This window comes from Homo sapiens, chromosome 1 (genome assembly GCF_000001405.40).
Source record: "Homo sapiens chromosome 1, GRCh38.p14 Primary Assembly".
NCBI lineage: Eukaryota > Metazoa > Chordata > Mammalia > Primates > Hominidae > Homo > Homo sapiens.
Window position 1 is genome coordinate 94,554,482 of NC_000001.11, and position 23,316 is coordinate 94,577,797.

Consider the following 23,316-nt stretch of genomic DNA (forward strand, 5'->3'; position numbering starts at 1 on the left):
AGTCCTAAGTCTATTAATAAAGCAGATATATCCTTATTACATGTTTTACTGCCATAAATGTGTCTACCAGAACTAGGAATAATGACAGACGGAAGGGTTGAGGATTCTTTCTGACGATAACCTGCCAGGACACCCGCTTCCTCCCTCCCTGTCCAGATGGGGTGGACTACAGTGCTCTGGCTCACACCAGGGGTGGAGGTATTCCCATTATTTGTCTGTTTTGTTGTCTGTAGTGCTTAGTCAGAATGCTGCCTGATACATTGCAGGGGTTCAATGACTTTCTGTGGAATGAATGAACAGACAGATGGTTACTTACCCCAGGGACATAAGAGCCTCACATAGCTGCAGCGTGAGCAGTGCCCTCTGCAGTCCTGGACCCAGATGCATAGAGGCCGAGATGTTCAGCCTTCCACCCCATGGCCATCCCGGAGCCTGGGGCTGACTCTGTCTGGTTTGGCTGCTTCTCTTCAGACAGTTGTCAAGCTCTGTCTTTTCTCAAACAGCTTTATTAAAATGAGTTATAACTACAAGAAGTTAGTTCTATAGTTATCTTCTATTTTGCAAATTGAACATGCATTCATTATTCTTTGACACTTCCTTGGAATTTACATTTCCTGGATTTTTAGCCCATCTTTAGGGTCCTCTTTCTCACTTTCCTAAAAATGCTTTCATATATTTGATAATGTGTTGGGGAGAACATCATTTTCGCCAGGGATGAGCAGAGAAAGTCCTTGCATATTACCTACTCGTCCTTGATCAGTGGCCTCTGGCAATACCTCCAATCCTTCTTTCCCCGCCCTGCCCCACCTCTTGCCATATTTGCAACCGATTCTCCACTACATTGTTGATTTCAGCATAGTGCCAGTTATTCACCTGTATGCCCTTAGATTCGTAAATGGCCTTTCTCTGTCCAGCCCTATATGTCAGGGAAGTCCACCTCCCAGGCTCCTTTTCCCTCCAGCCTCAGGTAAGTTCAGTCATTGGGAGGAACAGTCAGAAGCCTGGAGGGCAAGAGAAAGGGAAAAGCCAGGGCATTTCTCCCCACCCTCAGACTCTGTGCTGGTCAGCGTGTCCATTGCTGGCTGTGCCTCCATCTTGGACCCAGCTGGGCAGCCCTACACCTGGGATCTGGTAGCACCACTTCTTCCTGTTGCCCCCTGTCCCTGGGGATGGTAGCAGATGTCAGCTCTTGTTCTTCTTGAGACTGCCTCCTGTGCCCTTTCTGGTTTCTCAGCTCTTCCATGACGTTTGTAACCAATTCCCTGTAACAAATCCACTCTGTGTGAGAAACCTGGAGTGGCTTCTGATATCTGATAAGACTCTAATGGCACAGCCCAAAAATACCACTGCTGACTTCATGTGAGCCCCTCACTTTCCTTCTGACTGGAATGGGTGCCCTCACCAGATACCCTGATAATCAGTTATCTGTGGAAAATCTCTGAAATCTTCGAATGGCTAAGTTAAAAGTAAGTATATATTTCATTAATTGGCATTCATCCAAATATTCACTGCATGCTGAAAAATATTTTTAATTTCTATTTCTTTTGGAGCAACCATTTGAAAGATTGCTGGTTGAAAAGAAAGAGCACTAATTTGGCAATGGTTTTGCTTGCCTTCCAAGCCTGGAGACAGCTGGGGTACCTGACTTGTCACTCACTCAACGTCAGGCCGCCTTCCACCTCTGCTAAAGCCATTTGTCCAGTGTGCTTTGGACACCAGTGAGAACCCAAAGCTAGATCCAGTGTAGCTGTCCCAAGGAACCTGGCAGATGACTCAGGGCTGCAGGTCTGGGTTGGTGAGGTTCAGTGGGAAGGGAGTTGTCATCAGAGCCAGACGTGCCTACTTTGGAGTCCCAGCTTTGGATCTCCCAAGCTGTGTAAGGTTGGGAAAGTTTCTTAAATTATTTAAGTCTTTTTTTTTAATATCATTTTTCAAATGAGGAGAAGAAAGCCTGTTTTGAAGGATTGTGAGGATTGCAGATGATGGGTGCTGGCACCTCAAAGGGAGCTCTGAAGATTACAACAGCAATTATTAGTAATAGATGCCTGTCTAAGATGATCCTGTATGTATGAAGTTGGTGGTCGCTTCTTAGTTGTAGCAAGTGTGGCTTTGACTGGCACTTGTTAGCTCTCTGCTAAGTCATGAAGAAACCCAAGAAAACAGAGTTATGTTTGCTTTGTAAAACAAAGTATTACCAGTACATTCTGCTCAACTATGTACTGGTAGCATTTATAAACAATTTATTCTAACTTTTTTTTCAAAATACTGTTGCAAAAAAGTCTTGTTTCTTCTTTCCTCTTTGCACAGCCATTAAATTTCAGCAATTCTAAATCAGAATAGCATCTAATAGACTGCATATGAAATGTGTTTACTATCTTCAAATATTTTCTGGCCTATTCATTAAGTACTCAATATTTATTTATTTATTTATTTAATTTATTTTTTAAGACAGGGTTTCCCTCTTGTTGCCCAGGCTATAGTACAATGGTATGATCTCAGCTCACTGCAACCTCTGCCTCCTGGCTTCAAGTGATTCTCATGCCTCTGTCTCCCGAGTAGCTGGGATTACAGGCACGTACCACCAAGCCCCGCTGATTTTTCTATTTTTAGTAGAGACAGGGTTTCACCATGTTGGCCAGGCTGGTCTTGAACTCCTGACCTCATGATCCGCCCCCCTTGGCCTCCCAAAGTGCTGAGAATTACAAGCGTGAGCCACCGTGCCGGGCCTCAATATTTATTTATAACATCATGTTACTCTGTTCAGTAACTAAAATAAATTGGCAAATATGGATCTGTATTTTATTTTTTTAGCAGAAGAATTCTGTCCTATATTGCTCTTTTCTTTTGGGTATTGGTCAAATTTAAATAACATATACGAAAGTGTTTTTTATGCTATCTGTTACTGGAAATAAAAGCTCTTTAATTAGTTAACTGAGATAGGTGAGATAGGATACTAATATACAAAGTTTTAATAGTCCCAAGATTGGCCCAATAGCTATATGGGCAATGATACTGTGTATTTAAATTAATTTTAATTTTAAAAATAATAAATATATTGTTACTATATGATCTTCAGTAAATAAAGAATATATAGAAAAAGTGAACCTCTCCCCTTCTTCCTCCCCAAGTTCTACTCTTCTCTCCAAAAGACTGTTAAGAATTTGACATCTATCCTTCAAGATCTTTTTCTATGTACATACAGACACACATATGAGGCCTCTGCAGATATTCTATTTTTGTTTATTCCATAAATGGGATTATACAGAATGTATTCTGCAAGTGGCTTTTTGTTCTTTTTTACAATGTTTTGGAGGGCTCTGTACGTTGATTGGTATTCTTATTTTTATTTTTATTTTTCAAAGAAAGCCTCGAGGCCCCCTGCTGTAGGTTCAGAGTGGCTCCTCCCAGGCAGTTAGACTCCCTGTCTATTGAACTTGGGGCGGATGTGCCAGGCAACTCCCAAGGTTCAGAGGCACCTTAGGCTTTACCGTCAATGGGCTTTATATTAGGGTGTAGACACCAGGGCTTTCTACCTGGCTTTACATTAGGGTGGTTGCCTTAGAGACAAAGACCTGCCTTATAGGAAGACCCAGTGAGCAGTAAGGCCACAGCCAGCATCTGTAACTCTAAGACTTGGTTCCTGAGAGCTGGCTCGCTCCTTTACCATCGACACAGTATATAAGGTCAGCTCATGACCCATACCCGAAGCCAGCTGCCATCTGTTTCCAGATATGCTCAGAGGTAACCCAGATCTAAGGCCTTTTAAAGAACACAATAACTTTGTTTCTACTAAAAAGTTGGCTTCCTTAATTGGTTCTTTTCTGGGTTTATTAATCTTGCCTGTTTATTAAACACATGTTGCTTAGCCTTTGTAAGCAGGATTAAAAAATGAAGAGATTCAAAATGATGTTGAGCATTTTTTCATGTTTGTTGGCTACTTCTGTGTTTTCAAAAAGAAGTCATAGATATCACCTCACACCAGTCAAAATGGCTATTAAAAAGTCAAAAAAATAACAAGGGCAGCAAGGCTGTGAAGAAAAGGGAATGCTTATACACTGCTGGTGGGAATGTAAATTAGTTCAGCCACTGTGGAAAGCAGTTTGGAGATTTCTCAAAGGACTTAGAACTATCATTAGGTCCAGTAACCCCATGAATGAGTATATACTCAAAGGAAAATAAATCATTATATCAAAAAGACACATGCACTCATATGTTCATCGAAGCACTATTCACAATAGCAAATACATGGAATCAACCTAGGTGTTCATCAATGGTGGATTGGATAAAGAAAATGAGGTACATATACACCATGGAATACTACACAGCCATAAAGGAGAATAAAATTATTTCCTTTGCAACAACGTGGATGCAGCCGGAGGCCATTACCCCAAGTGAACAAATGCAGGAACAGAAAACCAAATACTGCGTGTTCTCATTTATAAACGGGAACTAAACACTGGGTAAACATGAACATAAAGATGGGAATCATAGACTCTGGGGACTATTAGAGTGGGGAGAGAGGGAGTGGATAAGGGTTGAAAAACTACCTATTGGGTACTATGCTTACTACCTTTGTGATGTCAAACCTCAGTGTCACACAATATACTCATGTAAAAAAACCTGCACATATGCCCCCTGAATCTAAAGTAAAAGTTGAAATTATAAAAATATATATATATATAAAAGAAAATGTGGCACATATACACCACGGAATACTATGCAGCCATAAAAAAGGATGAGTTCATGTCATTTGTAGAGACGTGGATGAAGCTGGAAACCATCATTCTGAGCAAACTGTCACAAGGACGGAAAACCAAACGCCGCATGTTCTCACTCATAGGTGGGTGAACAATGAGAACACTTGGACACAGGGTGGGGAACATCACACACTGGGGCCTGTTGCGGGGAGGGGGGCTGGGTGGGGGATAGCATTAGGAGAAATACTTAATGTAAATGATGAGTTGATGGGTGCAGCAAACCACCATGGCACATGTATACCTAAGTAACAAACCTGCACGTTGTGCACATGTACCCTAGAACTTAAAGTATAATAAAAAAATTAAAAATAATTGTGCCCTTAAATGTCCGCTTTAAATATGCCAATTATGTTTCAATAAAAATATTTTAAAGAAAAAAAAGAAATGTTTGGAATGCCTTTCTGTCTTCCCCATCCACCGCCTTTGCCTGACAAGCAGTCTCCTTATGTGGATGGATTTGCTTTCCTAAGCAGCCTCTCCCGCAGAGAGATGAGTGAAGTTGTTTTTCGATCCAAACACTCTGATCCCTGGCAATTTGTTTCCTCCTAGAAATTAGTGAAATTAGTGAATTGCCTTTTGAGTGTGTATGGCCACCTTTAGTGAACTTGAACCATTCAACTTGTCCCCCTAGAGCTTGCTTATTGTGGGTAAGGAGAAGTGGGAAAGTCACTATGGGATTGAGAGAGATGCCACCTAAGATAGATTTACTCTGCATCTCTGTGAGGGCTCCTCAGCCCATTCCAAACACCACAGCCTGTCTTGTGTGAGGTCATTGACCTTTACAGTCTCTTGGCCTCTTGTGCTCTCCACCCAGTAGCTCTCATTGCCCTGCCTGGGTTTGGGGCCCAACCCATGACATAGATACCTTTGGGAGGTGAAAAGCTGAATTAGCAAGAGGCCAGACAGAATGACACAGACAAGCCTGTCTTTCTGGAAAGCCATTGTTCTCATGTCAACTCTTGAGAAATGTGTCTCTAAGATTTCAGCCAGGAAACTTATGAAGCCCATGCTCTTAACCTGTGGGGCAGAAGATCCCAGGTCAGGGGCTCCTTCAAGGACAGGGCCAGCATGGAAAAGCCGCTGTTACTATTTTCAAGACAACAGGGCCACTGAGAAATGTTTAGAACAAAGCTTTGGTGATGCAGAATCATTCACACTTTCAGCACATTACATTAATCAAAGGAAACTCAATTATATTAGCTATGCTTTGTACCACTTTGTTTATTAAAACCAGGACATGAGCAATGCATTTTAGAAATTTTTTCAGTAAGTCTTGAAATAACAAAGGATTTCTTTGTATAACTCAGTTTGGAATACCAGTGCTGTCCAACAGAGATATGTGAGCCACATATGCGACTTAAATTTTTTAGTAGCCATATTTAAAAAAATAGAAACAGGTGAAATGAGTTTTGAGCTTGTTTTACTGATCCCAATATATCCCAAGCATTATCATTTCAATATGTAATCAGTATAAAAATTATTAATGAGATATTTTACATTCTGGTTTTTGTTTTTACTTTTTTGTGGAGGGGATACTAAGTCAAAATTCAATGTATCTTTTTTTTTTTTTTTTTTTTGAGATGGAGTCTTGCTCTGTCACTCAGGCTGGAGTGCAGTGGCGCGATCTCGGCTCACTGCGAGCTCCACCTCCCGAGTTCACGCCATTCTTCCGCCTCAGCCTCCCGAGTAGCTGGGACTACAGACGCCTGTCACCACGCCTGACTAATTTTGTTTTGTATTTTTAGTAGACGGGGTTTCACTGTGTTAGCCAGGATGGTCTCGATCTCCTGACCTCGTGATCCACCCGCCTCGGCCTCCCAAAGTGCTGGGATTATAGGCGTGAGCCACCGCGCCCAGCCCAGTGTATCATTTTTAAAGAGCGTCTCAATTAGAACTAGCTGTGCTTCAAGTTCTCAGTAGCCACAGGTAGCTAGTGGGTGGCTACTATATAGAAAGAAGAGTGTAATCCTAAGCCTTTTGTATACCACGGACTTTCTGCACTTTTGAATTCTAACGCAAGGAACTCATCATTAACTCAACTTGACCTGAGGTTCTCAGTATGGATGGCAAAGCTCATGTTAATGTGCTAATCATCTGCCACACTAGTCTCCTTCCTGGGCTATTCCTGCTTCCACTATATTTTGTATACACAATTAGGATGATCCCTATAAAGCTGAAGTTAGATACCATCACTTCTCTGCTCAAAACTTTTCCGTGGCTTTACATCCCAGTCATTACCATGGCTTACAAGGCTCCACACAGTCTGATCCCTGCCTACAGCGTTGGTCTCACTTCCTACAATTCTCTCCCTCGCTTGCTCCACTTACTCATCTCAGCCACATGGGATTGTTGCTGCTCTTTGACTGTGCCAAGCACACTCGTGCCCCATTCGCTTCTCCCCTTGTGCTAGAGCTCTTTCCCCAACATCTTCCCATGGTTTACCTTGAACTTCCTGCACAATGTCATTCCTCAGAGAGGCCTTCCTGGAGTACTCTATATAAAATAGCCCTCAAAGAGGGCTTCTCTTAAGGCCCCTTCTCATGACCCTATAGTTTCATCCTCTTCTTACCCACTTTATTGCTTTTCATAGCACTTGTTTGTTAGCTAGTTTATTTTCTACCTCCCTCAGCCCCACACCACACAAGGTGAGCTCCATGAAAGGAGGGACTTCCTCTGTTTCATTCGGAGGCACTGGGGACCCAGCAATAGAATCTGGAACACAGTAGGTGCTCAACAAATATTGGTAAGTGAAAGAATAAAGGAATGAATCCAATTTTGGTGAGAGATGCTTCTGAGTATTATGGGTTCCCACAACAATAATAGATTTATATCTAAGGTCCTTATTTGAGCTTAGTTCTCAAACCAAGCAACTGTTTTCCCAGTGGTAAATACTCCCCTGAACAGAAACGCAATGGCCATGCATTCATCCAGGTCATTCAGCTCTGCTTGGTGTCTCGCTTCCTGATCCCCTTATTGCACTTCTTATTAGTGCAGCCATTATCTCACCTTTTGCAGGCCAGATCAGACATGCTTTGTTTTATTTGATGAATTGTAAATCGATAGTCATCTCACACAGCAGTTCCCAACCTTTTTGGCACCAGGGACTGGTTTCATGTGAGACAACTTTTCCACAGACTGGGGTTGGTGGGGCGATCTTTTCGGGATGATTCGAGTGCATTGGGTTTATTGTGCACTTTATTTCTATTATTATTACATTATAATATATAATGAAATAATTATACAACTCACCATAATGTAGCATCAGTGGGACCCCAGTCCCACCTGGGGGTGACGGGAGACAGTGACAGATCATCAGGCATTAGACTCTCATAAGGAGCGGGCAACCTAGATCCTGCACGTGCACAGTTCACAACAGAGTTTGCACTCCATGAGATTCTAATGTGACAGCTGATCTGACAGGAGTCGGAGCTCATGCAGTAATGCAATTGAAGGGGAGTGGCTGTAAACACAGAAGAAGCTTTGTTCGCTCGCCCACCACTCTCCTCCTACTGTGTAGCCCAGTTCCTAACAGGCCATGGACTGGTATCAGTTGATGGCCCAGTGGTGGGGGATCCCTGTTCTAACTAATCCTACACGTGTTGCTTTGCTCATGGCTCCTGCTTACAGCACCTCGAGTTGCTTAAAACTAGATAAACAATCTCTGTTAAGGAAGTCCAGCCTTCCTTGTGACTATCCGGTTGTCCTTCTCTTTAATAGTATGCACACATTCCCTTCAGAAACTCAGGGAGGATCCCTGGCATTTGTGTTTGGGCATTGGAATTCACACTAATTTCCCTGTCCAGGTTGGGTGCTCACAGCCATGAGGAGTGGCTAAGTAAACATCTGCTCTCGGCAGGGCCCTCTGAGATCAGGCACAGCCATCAACAGTGGCTGCATGCCTCTCATGCTTCTGAGTTACGTTTGTCCTGCTTCTGAGAAGATCAGCCACTTCAGAATGAACCAATTAATACAATCGCTAGGTGCCCTCCTGTAGTACCTCTGTGAGGTTTGAAGGACTTGCCCTGATGAACCTCCACTTCCCTGTAATTCCCTATAAGATCTGCAGCACAAAGCTGTGAAGGTGCTGGTCAGGGGTGGAATGCAACTGATGCTGTCACCAGACTCTAATCCCAATATCTCCCAGATATTCCACAGATACCACATTCTAACCAGAATAATCTGCATCATCTAAAGGGTTTATGATATGTGGCTGTGGGACTGGACCAATATGAGCCCACAGAAGCCTGCATACTTGGAACCACTTGGTGGGATCAATGTCATTAGGAGACACAACTATAAATGCTGTCATTCAACCCAGCTTGAATGAATAACAAAGAACATGCTCCAGGAGGATAAAGAACAGAGCATCTCCTTGGTAAGTATTCTAAATATATAATATAAGTATCATGAATTCTGATTAGTTGTAAGATAAAGCTAAAAAATCTTTTTTATATGAACATAGAAAAGTATAATGGCCGTTGCGAACTATGTCAGAATTATGCAAATTATTTAGAATTTATTAAAGGCTGTGTGACCCATTTTCTTTTTGTTGTTGTTGTTGTTGTTGTTTTGTTTTTATTGCATGGCAGAGTCCAGGCTCAAATGTCACTTCTTCAGAGAGGCTTTCCCTGACCATCCTAGGCAAAGGTCTTCCCTGTTATTTTCTGTCCTGTACACCGTTTTTGTCTTTAATAGCATGTATTGTAAGTTATAACAATACATTTGTTTTCTTGTTTCTTACCTGTGTTCCTGACAAGATTAGAAACTCCACAAAGGCAACAGAACAGGTTTATTTTATTCACCCTTATATACTCAGGAACAGGTACCATACTTGGCCCATGAAGTACTTAAAAATATTAATTGAATGAATGATTTAGTGACAGTCTTTCAACAAATATCCCTAAACAAAAGCGACTAAATCAAGATAAAGTATCATCATTATCAACAGTGAAATTGATATCACTGCTGTCAATATCAATTTCAAAAGTCTAAATTATTTTGAAAGAGGCAGTTGACTAATGCAATCTAGGAGTTAAAACAGGTTAATTCTTGAAAGGTCCTTTATTCTAACTGGGCAAATAATATTTTGTGTTCTAGAATGTTACATTCATGTAATACTGATTTATCAAAGTTTGTAAACTTTGCCAAGCTTTATCCAGAGAGGACAAGAGCAGTGAGGATGTTGGCTTAACTAGATCCAGGAGTGTGAGCTAATGTTAGATTAGAGGTCAATTAATGGATGACTCTACCTGCCAGATTAGGACATCAAGCTTCATTCAATTCAGTTCCACAAATTTTTATCAATGACTTATAGTACTCCAGATGACATGAATTAAATAGGGTTCTATAGTCAATAAACTCAGTCTATCAGAGAGAGACAAACTTGACAATTTTGACAATCACTCAAATAGAAGCACGGACACCGTGATTTAGTCACTCAGAAGAGAAGCAGCTTGCTTCCCTGGTACGCTGGGGAAGACTTGCCAAATGATATGATTTCCACCTTAGGGCCTTGGCACCTGCTGTTCCCTCTCCTAGAATAGATTATGGCCCCAGATTTTCCAGATCACCTCATAACACTTCAGGTTACCTCCTCCATCACTATTTATCTATCTGGTTTCTTCTTGGCACTTACCATTATCTGCAATTATCTAGATATTTCCTTTTTACTTGTTTATTGTCTATCTTACCCCTCAAGAACATAAGCTCTGTGAGAGCAGGGACCTGGTCTTTGTTCACATGCTAGAAATGTGACTGAGACATGGTAGGAAATGGAGATGTCTACGGAGTCACCGAGGGGCTCACAGCAATAGGGAGTCATTGGAACTTCTCGATTGCAAATGATATGACAGAATTGCTTTGGAAAAATCATCCTGGCAATGAGGTTTGTCAGAATGATTGGATGGGGAGACAGCCAATGAATGGGGAGACACAGAATTGGGGTAAGAGAAACATTTAGAAGATACCTATAGTAACTTAGATGTGAGTGATATAAGTAAGGATATGAGTTGTGGTAGGAAGCATGAAAAGGGAGGTTGAATTCAAGACATAAGTTGAAAGAAGAAACTGCACTCACACTGGCCTTCTTATGAATCCTAAGGCAGGCCTAGCCCCATCCTGCTCATGGGGCTTCTTGGACCCTTTCCCCCCAGATCTTTGCATTTTATTTAGATCTCTCCTCATGTGTCACCTTATTAAAAAATTTTTTTTCCTGACCACCTTATCTTAAAAGCATCCTCCCCACCCATGCCCTGATTTTGCTTTTCTTCCAGGCGCATTCACCTCCTGCCATTACATTGTTTACACTGCATTATATTACACATTACATGTAAGCTCCCTGAAGCCAGGAGGGCAAAAACTCATTCTACCTTGTTTGCTACTCTATTTTCAATGAATGGCATATAACAGGAGCTCAACACATATTTGTTGAACTAATTGATACACAAATTAGATTAGATATAAATATGGTTAATAAGAGAAATGGTCAAGGGAGACCTTGGGTCATTAGGAAATTAAAATAACAGAAATAGGGAGCTTGGTAGGAATTACAGGTCCATGAGAAAAGCTCTTCATTAGGACAGATTCAGCTAAGCCTCTATTTTGCAGCATCAGTGTCTGAAACATAGCAGGCCCTCAATTAATCTAAAGTGAATAAAAGAATATCTTATTTGCCCTTCCAATTACTGTATGTCAGGAAATTAATAAAAATTACATCCTCAATGAATAATTTTCCTTCTTCAGATATTTTACTAATGCATATTGGTTTTACTAGTGAGGCTTTGCTAGATTTAACTAAGCCATCCGTACCACAGATTCTTTTAAACTACTGCCTTCAGGGTTTCCTTGGGGAGTACAATTAACATCTTAACTTATAACAATCTAGTTTGGATTAATAATGCCCTGATTTCAATAGTACGTAAAAGCTTTGCTTCTCTGGAGTGTAATTCCCTCACTCTCTTTTGTGCTGTTATTGCCATGCAAATTACATCTTATATATTATATGCCCATCACATAGATTTTAATTATTGTTTTATGCAGTTGTCTTTTAAATCAGATAGAAGGAAAAGGACTTACAACCATAAAATACCATCTTTCATATTTACTATGTACTTATCTTTACCAGTACACTCTATTTCTTTATGTAGATTTGAGTTACTGTCCAGTGTCCTTCCATTTCAGTCTGAAGGACTTCATTTAGTATTTATTTTCTGTATGACATATTTGCTAGTTTTCAGTCAGGTCTGTGTGAAGAGACCACCAAACAGGCTTTGTGTGAGCAACAAGGCTGTTTATTTCACCTGGGTGCAGGCGGGCTGAGTCTGAAAACAGTCAGCGAAGGGAGATAGGGGTGGGGCCGTTTTATAGGATTTGGGCGGGTAAAGGAAGATTAGTCAAAGGGGGTTGTTCTTTGTCGGGCAGGGCCAGGAGTCACAAGGTGTTCAGTGGGGGAGCTTTTGAGGCAGGATGAGCCAGGAGAAGGAATTTCACAAGATAATATCATCAGTTAAGGCAGAAACAGGCCATTTTCACTTCTTTTGTGATTCTTCAGTTGCTTCAGGCCATCTGGATGTGTATGTGCAGGGCACAGGGGATATGATGGCTTAGCTTGGGCTCAGAGGCCTGACATTCATGTCTTCTTATATTAATAAGAAAAATAAAATGAAATAGTGGTAAAGTGTTGGGGTGGTGAAAATTTTTTTGGGTGGCATGGAGAGATAATGGGCGATGTTTCTCAGGGCTGCTTCAAGCAGGATTAGGGGCAGCGTGGGAAACTAGAGTGGGAGAGGTTAAGTTGAAGGAGGATTTTGTGGTAAGGGGTGATATTGTGGAGTTGTTAGAAAGAGCATTTGTCATATAGAATGATTGGTGATGACCTGGATATGGTTTTGGATGAATTGAGAAACTAAACGGAAGACACAAAGTCCGAATTAAGAGAAGGAGAAAAACAGGTATTAAAGGACTAAGAATTGGGAGGACCCAGGACATCCAATTAGAGAATGCCCAAGGGGTTCAGTGTAATTACTTGCTTGGTTGGTGACTTTTTAGGCTCTATCCAAGTTTTTGGGGTGCAGTTCAAGTTGGGCTGGTGTCTCGGATGAGACTGGGGCCTAATAAAAAGGTGTGTCTATACAGGAGCTCAGATGGGCTGTATCCTGTAGCATTCCAAGGACAGGCCCGAATTCTGAGAAGGGAAAGTGGTAAAAGTATTGTCCAGTCCTTTTTAAGTTGGTGGCTGAGCTTGGTGAGGTGCTTTTTTTAAAAGACCATTTGTTCACTGAATACCAAGAGCCTGAGAAACTGCTTCGGTGATTTGACTAATAAAAGCCGGTCTGTTATCGGACTGTATAGAGGTGGGAAGGCCAAACCTAAGAATTATGTCTGACAGAGGGGAAGAAATGACCACGGTGGCCTTCTCAGACCCTGTGGGAAACGCCTGTACTCATCCAGTGAAAGTGTCTACCTAGACCAAGAGGTATTTTAGTTTCCTGACTCAGGGCATGTGAGTAAAGTCAATTTGCCAGTCCTGAGAGGGGGCAAATCTCTGAGCTTGATGTGTAGGAAATGGAGGCGGCCTGAACAATCCCTGAGGGGTAGTAGAATAGCAGATGGAACACTGAGAAGTGATTTCCTTGAGGATAGATTCCCACAATGGAAAGGAAATGAGAGGTTCTAAGAGGTGGGCTAGAGGCTTGTAACCTACATGGAAGATGTTACGAAATGATGACAGAATAGAATGGGCCTGTGAGGCTGGAAGGAGATATTTTCCTTGGTCTAAGAACTATTTGCCTTGTGTGGGAAGAGATTGATAGGTGGAAGTTTTAGTTGGGGAGTAGGTGGGAGTGGCCAGGTGAGAAGAAGAAAAACTGCCGTGAGGGATAGAAGTTGGAATGCTAGCTGCTTTTTTAGCTACCTTATCAGCATAAGCATTGTCCTGAGTGGTGGGATCTGACACCTTTTGATAGCTGCTTTTTTAGCTACTTTATCAGCAGAAGCTTTGTCCTGAGCCATGGATCTGATGCCTTTTGATGGCCTTTGCAGTGAATGACTCCAGCTTCCTTTGGAAGTAAAGCAGCTTTGAGAAGCATTTTTATTAAAGAGGGATTAATGATGGAGGACCCTTGAGTAGTGAGGAAACCCCTTTCAGCCCATATAACAGCATGGTGGTGCAGGATATGGAAGGCATATTTAGAGTTAGTATAAATATTGACATGTAGTCCCTTTGCAAGAGTGAGGGCCCAAGTTAAGGCAATGAGTTCAGCTTGCTGAGAGGTAGTGGAAGGGGGCAGAGCGGTAGCCTCAATCATACATGTGGAAGATACTATAGCATAGCCTGCCTTTGCTGGTGAGTGGCAATTAGGCCTGGTGGAACTGCCGTCAATAAACCAAGTGTGATCAGGGTGAGGAAGAGGAAAGAATATGGGGAAATGGAGTGAATGTCAGGTGGATCAGAGAGATACAGTCACGGGGGTCAGGTGTGGTATCAGGAATAATGTGGGAGGCTGGATTGAAGTCCAGGCCAGGAACAATGGTAATTGTGGAAGACTCAACAAAGAGTGAGTATAGCTGAAGAAGCCAGGGAGCAGAAGGTATATGCCCCAGGTGGGAGGAAGAAAATAGATTTTGGAAGTTATGGGAACTGTAGAGAGTGAGTTGAGCATAGTTTGTGATTTTGAGGGCCTCTAAAAGCATTAAAGCAGCGGCAGCTGCTGCATGCAGACATGAAGGCTAGGCTAAACCAGTAAGGTCAAGTTGGACAGAAAGGCTACAGGGCGCGGTCCCGACTCTTGGGTAAGAATTCTGACCACACTAACCATGCCTAGGAAAGGAAAGGAGTTGTTGTTCTGTAGAGGGGATTGGGGTTTGGGAGATTAGTCAGACACGATCAGCAGGGAGAGCACATGTGTTTTTATGAGAATTATGCTGAGATAGGTAACAGATGAGGAAGAAATTTGGGCTTGACTGAAGTAATGGGGGCTGTCTGTGAAGCCTTGTAGCAGTACAGCCCAGGTAATTTGCTGAGCCTGATGGGTGTCAGGGTCAGTCCAAGTGAAAGCGAAGAGAGGCTGGGATGAAGGGTGCAAAGGAATAGTAAAGAAAGCATGTTTGAGATCCAGAACAGAAGAATGGGCTGTGGAGGGAGGTATTGAGGATAGGAGAGTATATGGGTTTGTCACCATGAGGTGGATAGGTAAAACAATTTGGTTGATAAGGTGCAGATCCTGAACTAAACCTGTAAGGCTTGTCCGGTTTTTGGACAGGTAAAATGGGGAATTGTAAGGAGAGTTTATAGGCTTTAAAAGGCCATGCTGTAACAGGGGAGTGATAACAGGCTTTAATCCTTTTAAAGCATGCTGTGGGATGGGATACTGGCGTTGAGTGGGGTAAGGGTGATTAGGTTTTAATGGGATGGTAAGGGGTGCATCATCCATTGCCAAGGAGGGAGTAGAGGTGTCCTATACTTGTGGGTTAAGGTGGGGGGATACGAGAGGAAGACACGAAGGAGGCTTTGGGTTGGGAAGAAGGGTGGCAATGAGATGTGGCTGTAGTCCAGGAATAATAAGGGAAGCAGATAATTTGGTTAAAATGTCTCGGCCTAATAAGGGAACTGGGCAGGTGGGGTTAAATAAAAAGGAATGTATAAAAGAATATTGTCCAAGTTGGCACCAGAGTTGGGGAGTTTTAAGAGGTTTAGAAGCCTGGCCGTCAATACCCACAACAATTATGGGGGCAAGGGAAACAGTCCTTGAAAAGAAGGTAATGTGGAGTTGGTAGCCTCAGTATTGATTAAGAAGGGGACAGACTTACCCTCCACTGTAAAAGTTACCCAAAGCGTCTGTGATGGTCCTGTAGGCTTCTGAGGTGATCGGGCAGTATCAGTCTTCAGCCACTAAGCTGAGAAGATCTGGGAAGGAGTCAGTCAGAGAGCCTTGGGCCAGAGTTCCAGGGGCTCTGGGAGTGGCTGCCAGGCGAGCTGAACAGTCCTATTTTCAGTGGGGTTCCACACAGATGGGACACAGCTTAGGAGGGGTCCTGGGCTGCAGGCATTCCTTGGCCCAGTGGCCAGATTTCTGGCACTTGTAGCAAGCTCCTGGGGTAAGAGGGTTTGGAGGAACCCCTGGCAGCTGTGGTTCAGGTGTTTGGTGTTCTTGTGTGCTGGAGATGTGGCTGGGGTTTGTCTCACAGTGGAGGCAAGGAATTGCAACTCAGAAATACATTGCTACTTGGCTGCCTCTACTTTATTATTGTACACCTTGAAGGCGAGGTTAATTAAGTCCTGTTGTGGGGTTTGAGGACTGGAATCTAATTTTTGGAGCTTTTTCTACTGTCGGGAGTGGGTTGGGTAATAAAATGCGTGTTGAGAATAAGATGGCCTTCTGGCCCTTCTGGGTCTAGGGCAGTAAAACATCTAAGGGTTGTTGCCAAATGGGCCATGGACTGGGCTGGGTTTTTATATTTGATGAAAAAGAGCCTAAACGCTATCTGATTTGGGAGAGGTCGGATAAAGAAAAGAGAGCATTAACGTTGACTATGCCTTTAGCTGGCAGCCCCCTTTTTTTTTTTTTTTTTTTGAGATGGAGTCTTGCTCTGCCGCCCAGGCTGGAGTGCAGTGACACGATCTCGGCTCACTGCAAGCTCTGCCTTCCAGGTTCACGCCATTCTCCTGCCTCAGCCTCCCGAGTAGCTGGGACTACAGGCACCTGCCACCATGCCTGGCTAAGTTTTTGTATTTTTAGTAGAGATGGGGTTTCACCGTGTTAGTCAGCATGGTCTCAATCTCCTGACCTTGTTATCTGCCTGCCTCAGCCTCCCAAAGTGCTGGGATTACAGGTCTGACTCACTGCACCTGGCCAGCTCCAGCCACCTTTTTAAGAGGAAATTGCTGGGCAGGTGGGGGAGAGCTAGTTGCGGAAGGAAACTAAGCCGGACCAGGCGTGAGGAGGGGAGGTGCTAAAAGGATTATAGGGTGGGGGAGCGGAGGCCGAGGAAAAATTAGGACCTGGCTTGGCCTGGTGAGGAGCAGCCTGGGGAGGAGGGGAGAGGTCAGATGGGTCTGTAGAAAAGGAAGATCAGAAAGTCTCAGCGACGCTTGGGGTTGGGACTGAGGGGACAGTCGGGAGGAAAAGAAGGATTTGGGACAAGCTGCATTGGGAACAGAGACTAGGGAGGGACTGATGTGTAAAAAAATGCCTGGACGTCAGGCATCTCAGACCGTTTGCCCATTTTATGACAAGAATTATCTAGATCTTATAGGATGGAAAAATTGAAAGTGCCATTCTCTGACTATTGGAACTACTCTCGAGTTTGTATCAGGCCCAAGTGACATTACAGTAGAAAATAAGATGCTTAGATTTTAGGTCAGGTGAGAGTTGAAGAGGTTTTAAGTTCTTGAGAACACAGGCTAAGGGAGAAGAAGGAGGAATGGAGGGTGGAAGGTTGCCCATAGCGAAGGAGGCAAGTTTAAAGAGAAGGGTAGAGACATGGAGAGAAGGGGTGGGGGGTGCTTGCCTCCCAGGAAAGTGGAGAAGGGGTGGGGAGAGACACAGAGAGAAGGGGTGGGGGGTGCTTGCCCCCCAGGAAAGTGGAGAAGGGGTAGAGACACGGAGAGAAGGGGTGGGGTGAGCAGCCCTGGGCTGCAATGTGAGTGAGCAGCCAAAGCAGGCGTCCCCGCAATTGACTTGCCACCAAGGGAATGTGGGTGAATGACCAAGGCAGGCATCCCTGCAGTGATCAGACACCAATTAAATGTGGGTGAATAATCAGGCAGGTGTCCCTGCAATGATTAAACACCAAGGGAAGACTGCCTTCCCGAGTCTGTGACTGGTGCCGGAGTTTTGGGTCCATGGATAAAACGTGTCTCCTTTGTCTCTACCAGAAAAGGAAAGGAACTGAAATTAAGAGAAGGGAGAAATTGAAGTGTGGCACCAAGATTGAAAGGAGAAAGAGGTTGAGGGATAATGAGAGAGGTTGGAGAAGAGAGTAAAAAGAGGCCGCTTACCTGATTTAAAATTGGTGAGATGTTCCTTGGGCTGGTTAGTCTGAGGACCAGAGGTCGTAGGTGGATCTTTCTCACGGAGCAAAGAGCAGGAGGACAGGGGATTGATCTCCCAAGGGAGGTCCGCTGATCCGAGTCAGGGCACCAAATTTCACTCACGTCCATGTGAAGGGACCACCAAACAGGCTTTGTGTGAGCAACAAGGCTGTTTATTTCACCTGGGTGCAGGTGGGCTGAGTCCGAAAAGAGAGTCAGCGAAGGGAGATAGGGATGGGGCTGTTTTATAGGATTTGGGCAGGTAAAGGAAAATTAGTCAAAGGGGGGTTGTTCTCTGGTGGGCAGGGATGGGGGTCACAAGGTGCTCAGTGGGGGAGCTTTTGAGCCAGGACGAGCCAGGAGAAGGAATTTCACAAGATAATATAATCAGTTAAGGCAGGAACAGGCCATTTTCACTTCTTTTGTGGTGGAACGTCATCAGCTAAGGCAGGAACAGGCTATTTTCACTTCTTTTGTGATTCTTCAGTTACTTCAGGCCGTCTGGATGTGCAGGTCACAGGGGATATGATGGCTTAGCTTGGGCTCAGAGGCCTGACACTAGTGACGAATTCTTTCAGTTTTTAAAATCTGGGAATATCTTAATTTCTCCACTTTTGAAGGATGTTGAATTCTTGGTTGGCAGTCTTTCTTTCAGAACTTTGACTATGGCATCCTACTGCTTTTTGGCCCCCATGGTTCCTTATAAGAAATCAGCTGTTCATCTAATTGAGAATCCCTTATACATGATCAGTCATTTATCTCTTGCTGCTTTCAAGATCCTGTCTTTGTCTCAGCTTTTAGCAATTTAATTATGATCTGTCTAGGTGTGAATCATTTTTAGCTTATCCTACTTGGAAGGACAAGCTATTTATCCTGTTTTTGTTTTGTTTTTAGCATCTGGGATGTGTACATTAAAGTTTTTGTCAAATTTGGGAAGTTTTCAGCCATTATTTTTTCATATATTCTTTCTGTTCTTTTTTCTCCTCTCCTTCTGAAACTCTCATTATTTGTATTTTGGGATGCTTGATGGTGTCTCACAGGTCTCTGAGGCTCTGTTCATATTCTTTATTCTTTTTTTCTTTGTTTTCCTCAGACTGGATAGTCTCAATTGACCTCTTAAAGCACAGCAATTCTGTCTTCTGCCTGCCCATATATGTTGTTGAACTACTCTAGTGATTTTTAAATTTCAATTATTGTATTTTTCTTCTTAAAAAATTTCTGACTTTTAAGTTCAGGGGTACATGTGCAGGATGTGCAAGTTTGTTACATAGGTACATATGTGCCATGGTGGTTTGCTGCACAGATCATCCCATTGCCCAGGCATTAAGCTCAACATTCACTTGCTATTCTTCCTGATGCTCTCCCTCCTCCCATCCCACATCCTCTGACAGGCCCCAGTGTGTGTTGTTCCACATCCATGAGTCCATGTTTTCTCATCATTCAGCTCCCACTGAAAAGTGAGAACATGTGGTATTTGGGTTTCTGTTCCTGCATTAGTTTGCTAAGGATAATGGGCTTCAACTCCAACCATGTCCCTGCAAAGGACATGATCTCATTCCTTTTTATGGCTGCATAGTTTCCATGGTGTATATGTACCACGTTTTTTTTTCATCGAGCATATCACTGCTGCCCATTTAGGTTGATTCCATGTCTTTGCTATGGTGAATAGTGCTGCAGTGAACATACATGTCCATGTATCTTTATAACAGGACAATTTATAGTCCTTTAGATATATACCCAGTAATGAGATTGCTGAGTCAAATGGTATTTCTGGCTCTAGGTCTTTGCAGAATTGTCACACTGTCTTCCACAATGGTTGAACTGATTTACATTCCCACTAACAGTGTAAAAATGTTCCTTTTTCTCCACATATTGCCAGCATCTGTTGCTTTTTGACTTTTTAATAATATCCATTCTGACTGGTGTGAGATGATATCTCATTGTGGTTTTGATTTGCATTTCTCTAATGATCAGTGATGAGCTTTTTTTCATATGTTTGTTGGCTGCATGTGTGCCTTCTTTTGAAAAGTGTTCATGTCCTTTGCCCACTTTTTAATGGGGTTGTTTTTGTCTTATAAATTTGTTTAAATTCTTTATAGATGGTGAATATTTGACCTTTGCCAGGTAGACAGATTGTAAAATTTTTCTCCCACTCTGTATGTTATCTGTTTATTCTGTTGATAGTTTCTTTTGCTGTGCAGAAGTTCTTTAGTTTAAACAGATTCCATTTGTCAATTATTGCTTTTGTTGCAATTGCTTTTGGTGTCTTTGTCATGAAATCTTTGTCAGTGCCCATGTCCTGAATGGTATTGCCTAGGTTTTCTTCTAGGGTTTTTATAGTTTTGGGTTTTGTATTTAAGTCTTTAGTCCATTCTGAGTTGATTTTTGTATATGGTGTAAGAGAGGTATCCAGTTTCAATTTTCTGCATATAGTCAAGTAGTTCTCCCAGCACCATTTATTAAATAGGGAGTCCTTTCTCCATTGCTTGTTTTTTTCAGGTTTGTCAAAGATCGGATGGTTGTAGGTGTGCAGTCTTATTTCTGGGTTCTCTGTTCTGTTCCATTGGTCTATGTGTCTGTTTTTAATACTGGTATCTGCTGTTTTGGTTACTGTAGCCTTGTAGTATAGTTTGAAGTCAGGTAACAGGCTTTGTTCTTTTGCTTAGGATTGCCTTGGCTATTTGGGCCCTTTTTTGGCTCCATATAAATTTTTAAATAGTTTTTTCTAATTCTGTGAGGAATGTGAAATGGTAGTTTAATGGGAATAGCACTGAATTTATAAATTGCTTTGGGCAGTATTGTCATTTTCACGATATTGATTCTTCCTATCCATGGGCATGGAATGTTTTTCCATTTATTTGTGTCATCTCTGATTTCTTTGAGCAGTGGTTTGTAGTTCTCCTTGAAGAAGTCCTTCATTTCCCTTGTTGGCTGTATTCCTAGTTATTTTATTCTTTTTGTGGCAATTGTGAATGGCAGTTCATTCGTGATTTGGCTCTTGGCATATAAGAATGCTAGCAATTTTTGCACATTGATTTTGTATTCTGAGATTTTGCTGAAGTTGCTTATCAGCTTAAGAAGCTTTTGGGCTGAGACGAGGGGTTTTTCTAGATATAGGATCATGCCATCTGCAAACAAAGATAGCTTAACTTCCTGTCTTATATAAAAACAGTTTATTTCTTTCTCTCGCCTAATTGCCCTGGCCAGAAATTCCAGTACTTTGTTGAATAGGAGTGGTGAGAGAGGGCAAACTTACCTTGTGCTGGTTTTCAAGTGGAATGCTTCTGGCTTTTTTCCATTCAGCATGATATTGGCTGTGGGTTTTTCATATATGGCTGTTATTATTTTGACGTATGTTCCTTCAATACCTAATATGTTTTTAACATGAAGCGGTGTTGAATTTTATTGAAGGCCTTTTCTTCATCTATTGAGATGATCATGTGGTTTTTGTCTTAGTTCTGTTTATGTGATGAGTTACATTTATTGATTTGTGTATGTTGAACTAGCCTTGCATCCCAAGGATGAAGCCTACTTGGTTGTGGTGGATAAGCTTTTTGATGTGCTGTTGGATTTGGTTTGCCAGTATTTTGTTGAGGATTTTTCATTGATGTTCATCAAGGATATTGGCCAGAAGTTTTCTTTTTTTTCTTGTATCTCTGCCAGATTTTGGTATCAGGATGATGCTGGCCTCATAGCATGAGTTAGGGAGGAGTCTCTCCTTTTCAATTTTTTTGAATAGTTTCAGTAGGAATCGTACCAGCTCTTATCTGTGCCTCTGGTAGAATTCAGCTGTGAATTCATCTGGTCCTGGGCTTTCATTTATTGGTAGGCTATTTATTACTGCTTCAATTTTGGAACTCATTATTGGTCGGTTCAGGGGTTCAGTTTCTTCCTGGTTCAGTCTTGGGAGGGTGTATGTGTCCAGGAACTTATCCATTTCTTCTAGATTTTCTAGTTTCTGTGCATAGAGGTTTTTACAGTACTCTCTGATGGTTGTTTGTATTTCTGTGGGGTCAGTGCTAGTATTCCCCTTATCATTTCTGATTGTGTTTATTTGAATCTTCTCTCTTTTCTTCTTTGTTTTGTTTTTGTTTTTTTTTTTTTTTTGAGACGGAGTCTCGCTGTCGCCCAGGCTGGAGTGCAGTGGCGTGCTCTCCGCTCACTGCAGGCTCCGCCCCCTGGGGTTCACTCCACTCTCCTGCCTCAACCTCCTGAGTAGCTGGGACTACAGGCGCCTGCCACCTCGCCCGGCTAATTTTTTGTATTTTTAGTAGAGACAGGGTTTCACCATGTTAGCCAGGATGGTTTCGATCTCCTGACCTCGTGATCCGCCCGCCTCGGCCTCCCAAAGTTCTGGGATTACAGGTGTGAGCCACTGCGCCCGGCCCTCTCTTTTCTTCTTTATTAGTCTAGCTAGTGGTCTATTTTATTAATTTTTTCAAAAAACCAGCTCCTGGATTCATTGATTTTTTTGAAGGGTTTTTCTTGTCTCTATCTCCTTCAGTTCAGCTCTGATCTTGGTTATTTCTTATCTTCTGCTAGCTTTGGGGTGTGTTTGCTCTTTGTTCTCTAGCTTTTTAACTGTGATGTTAGGTTGTTAATTTGAGATCTTTCTAGCTTTTTTATGTGGGCATTTAGTGCTATAAATTTCCCTCTTAATGCTGCTTTAGCTGTGTCCCAAAGATTCTGGTACATTGTATCTTTGTTCTCATTTGTTTCAAAGAACTTGATTTCTGCCTTAATTTCATTATTTGCCCAAATGTCCCTCAGGAGCAGGTTGTTCAATTTTCATGTAGTTGTATGGTTTTGAGTGAATTTCTTTTTTTTTTCTTTTTTTTTTTTTTTGAGATGGAGTTTTGCTCTTGTTGCCCAGGCTGGAGTGCATTGGCGCAATCTCGGCTCACCGCAACCTCCTCCTCCCGGGTTCAAGCAATTCTCCTGCCTCAGCCTCTCCAAGTAGCTGGAATTATAGGCATGTGCCACCAAACCTAGCTAATTTTGTATTTTTAGTAGAGACGGGTTTCTCCATGTTGGACAGGCTGATCTTGAACTCCTGACCTCAGGTGATCCGCCCGCCTTGGACCTCAGGTGACCTGCCTGCCTTGGACTCCCAAAGTGCTGGGATTACAGATGTGAGCCACCACACCTGGCCTGTGAATTTCTTAATCTTGAGTTCTAATTTGATTGTGCTGTCATCTGAGAGACTGTTATGATTTCAGTGCTTTTGCATTTGCTGAGGAGTATTTTACTTCTGATTACGTGATCAATTTTAGAATAAGTGCCATGTGGCGAGAAGGAGGATATATGTTCTGTTGTTTTTGGGTGGAGAGTTCTATAGATATCTATCAGGTCCACTTGATCCAGAGCTGAGTTCAGTTCCTGGATATCTTTGTCAATTTTCTGTCCTGATGATACGTCTAATATTGTCAGTGGGGTGTTAAATTCTCTCACTATTATTTTGTGAGAGTCTAAGTCTCTTTGAAGATCTCTAAGAACTTGCTTTATGAATCTGGGTGCACCTATTGGAGA

General features: G+C 42.5%; 1 long non-coding RNA gene across 1 annotated transcript in view; it reads left to right on the forward strand.

The window, feature by feature from the left end:
* The first annotated feature begins 8,621 nt into the window (after nucleotides 1-8,621).
* LOC105378861 (uncharacterized) overlaps nucleotides 8,622-23,316 on the forward strand; it is a 73,963-nt gene continuing 59,268 nt past the window's right edge. Inside the window, exon 1 of the long non-coding RNA XR_001738160.3 lies at nucleotides 8,622-9,132. This is a non-coding gene — a long non-coding RNA (uncharacterized LOC105378861). The remainder of the gene's footprint in view (nucleotides 9,133-23,316) is intronic.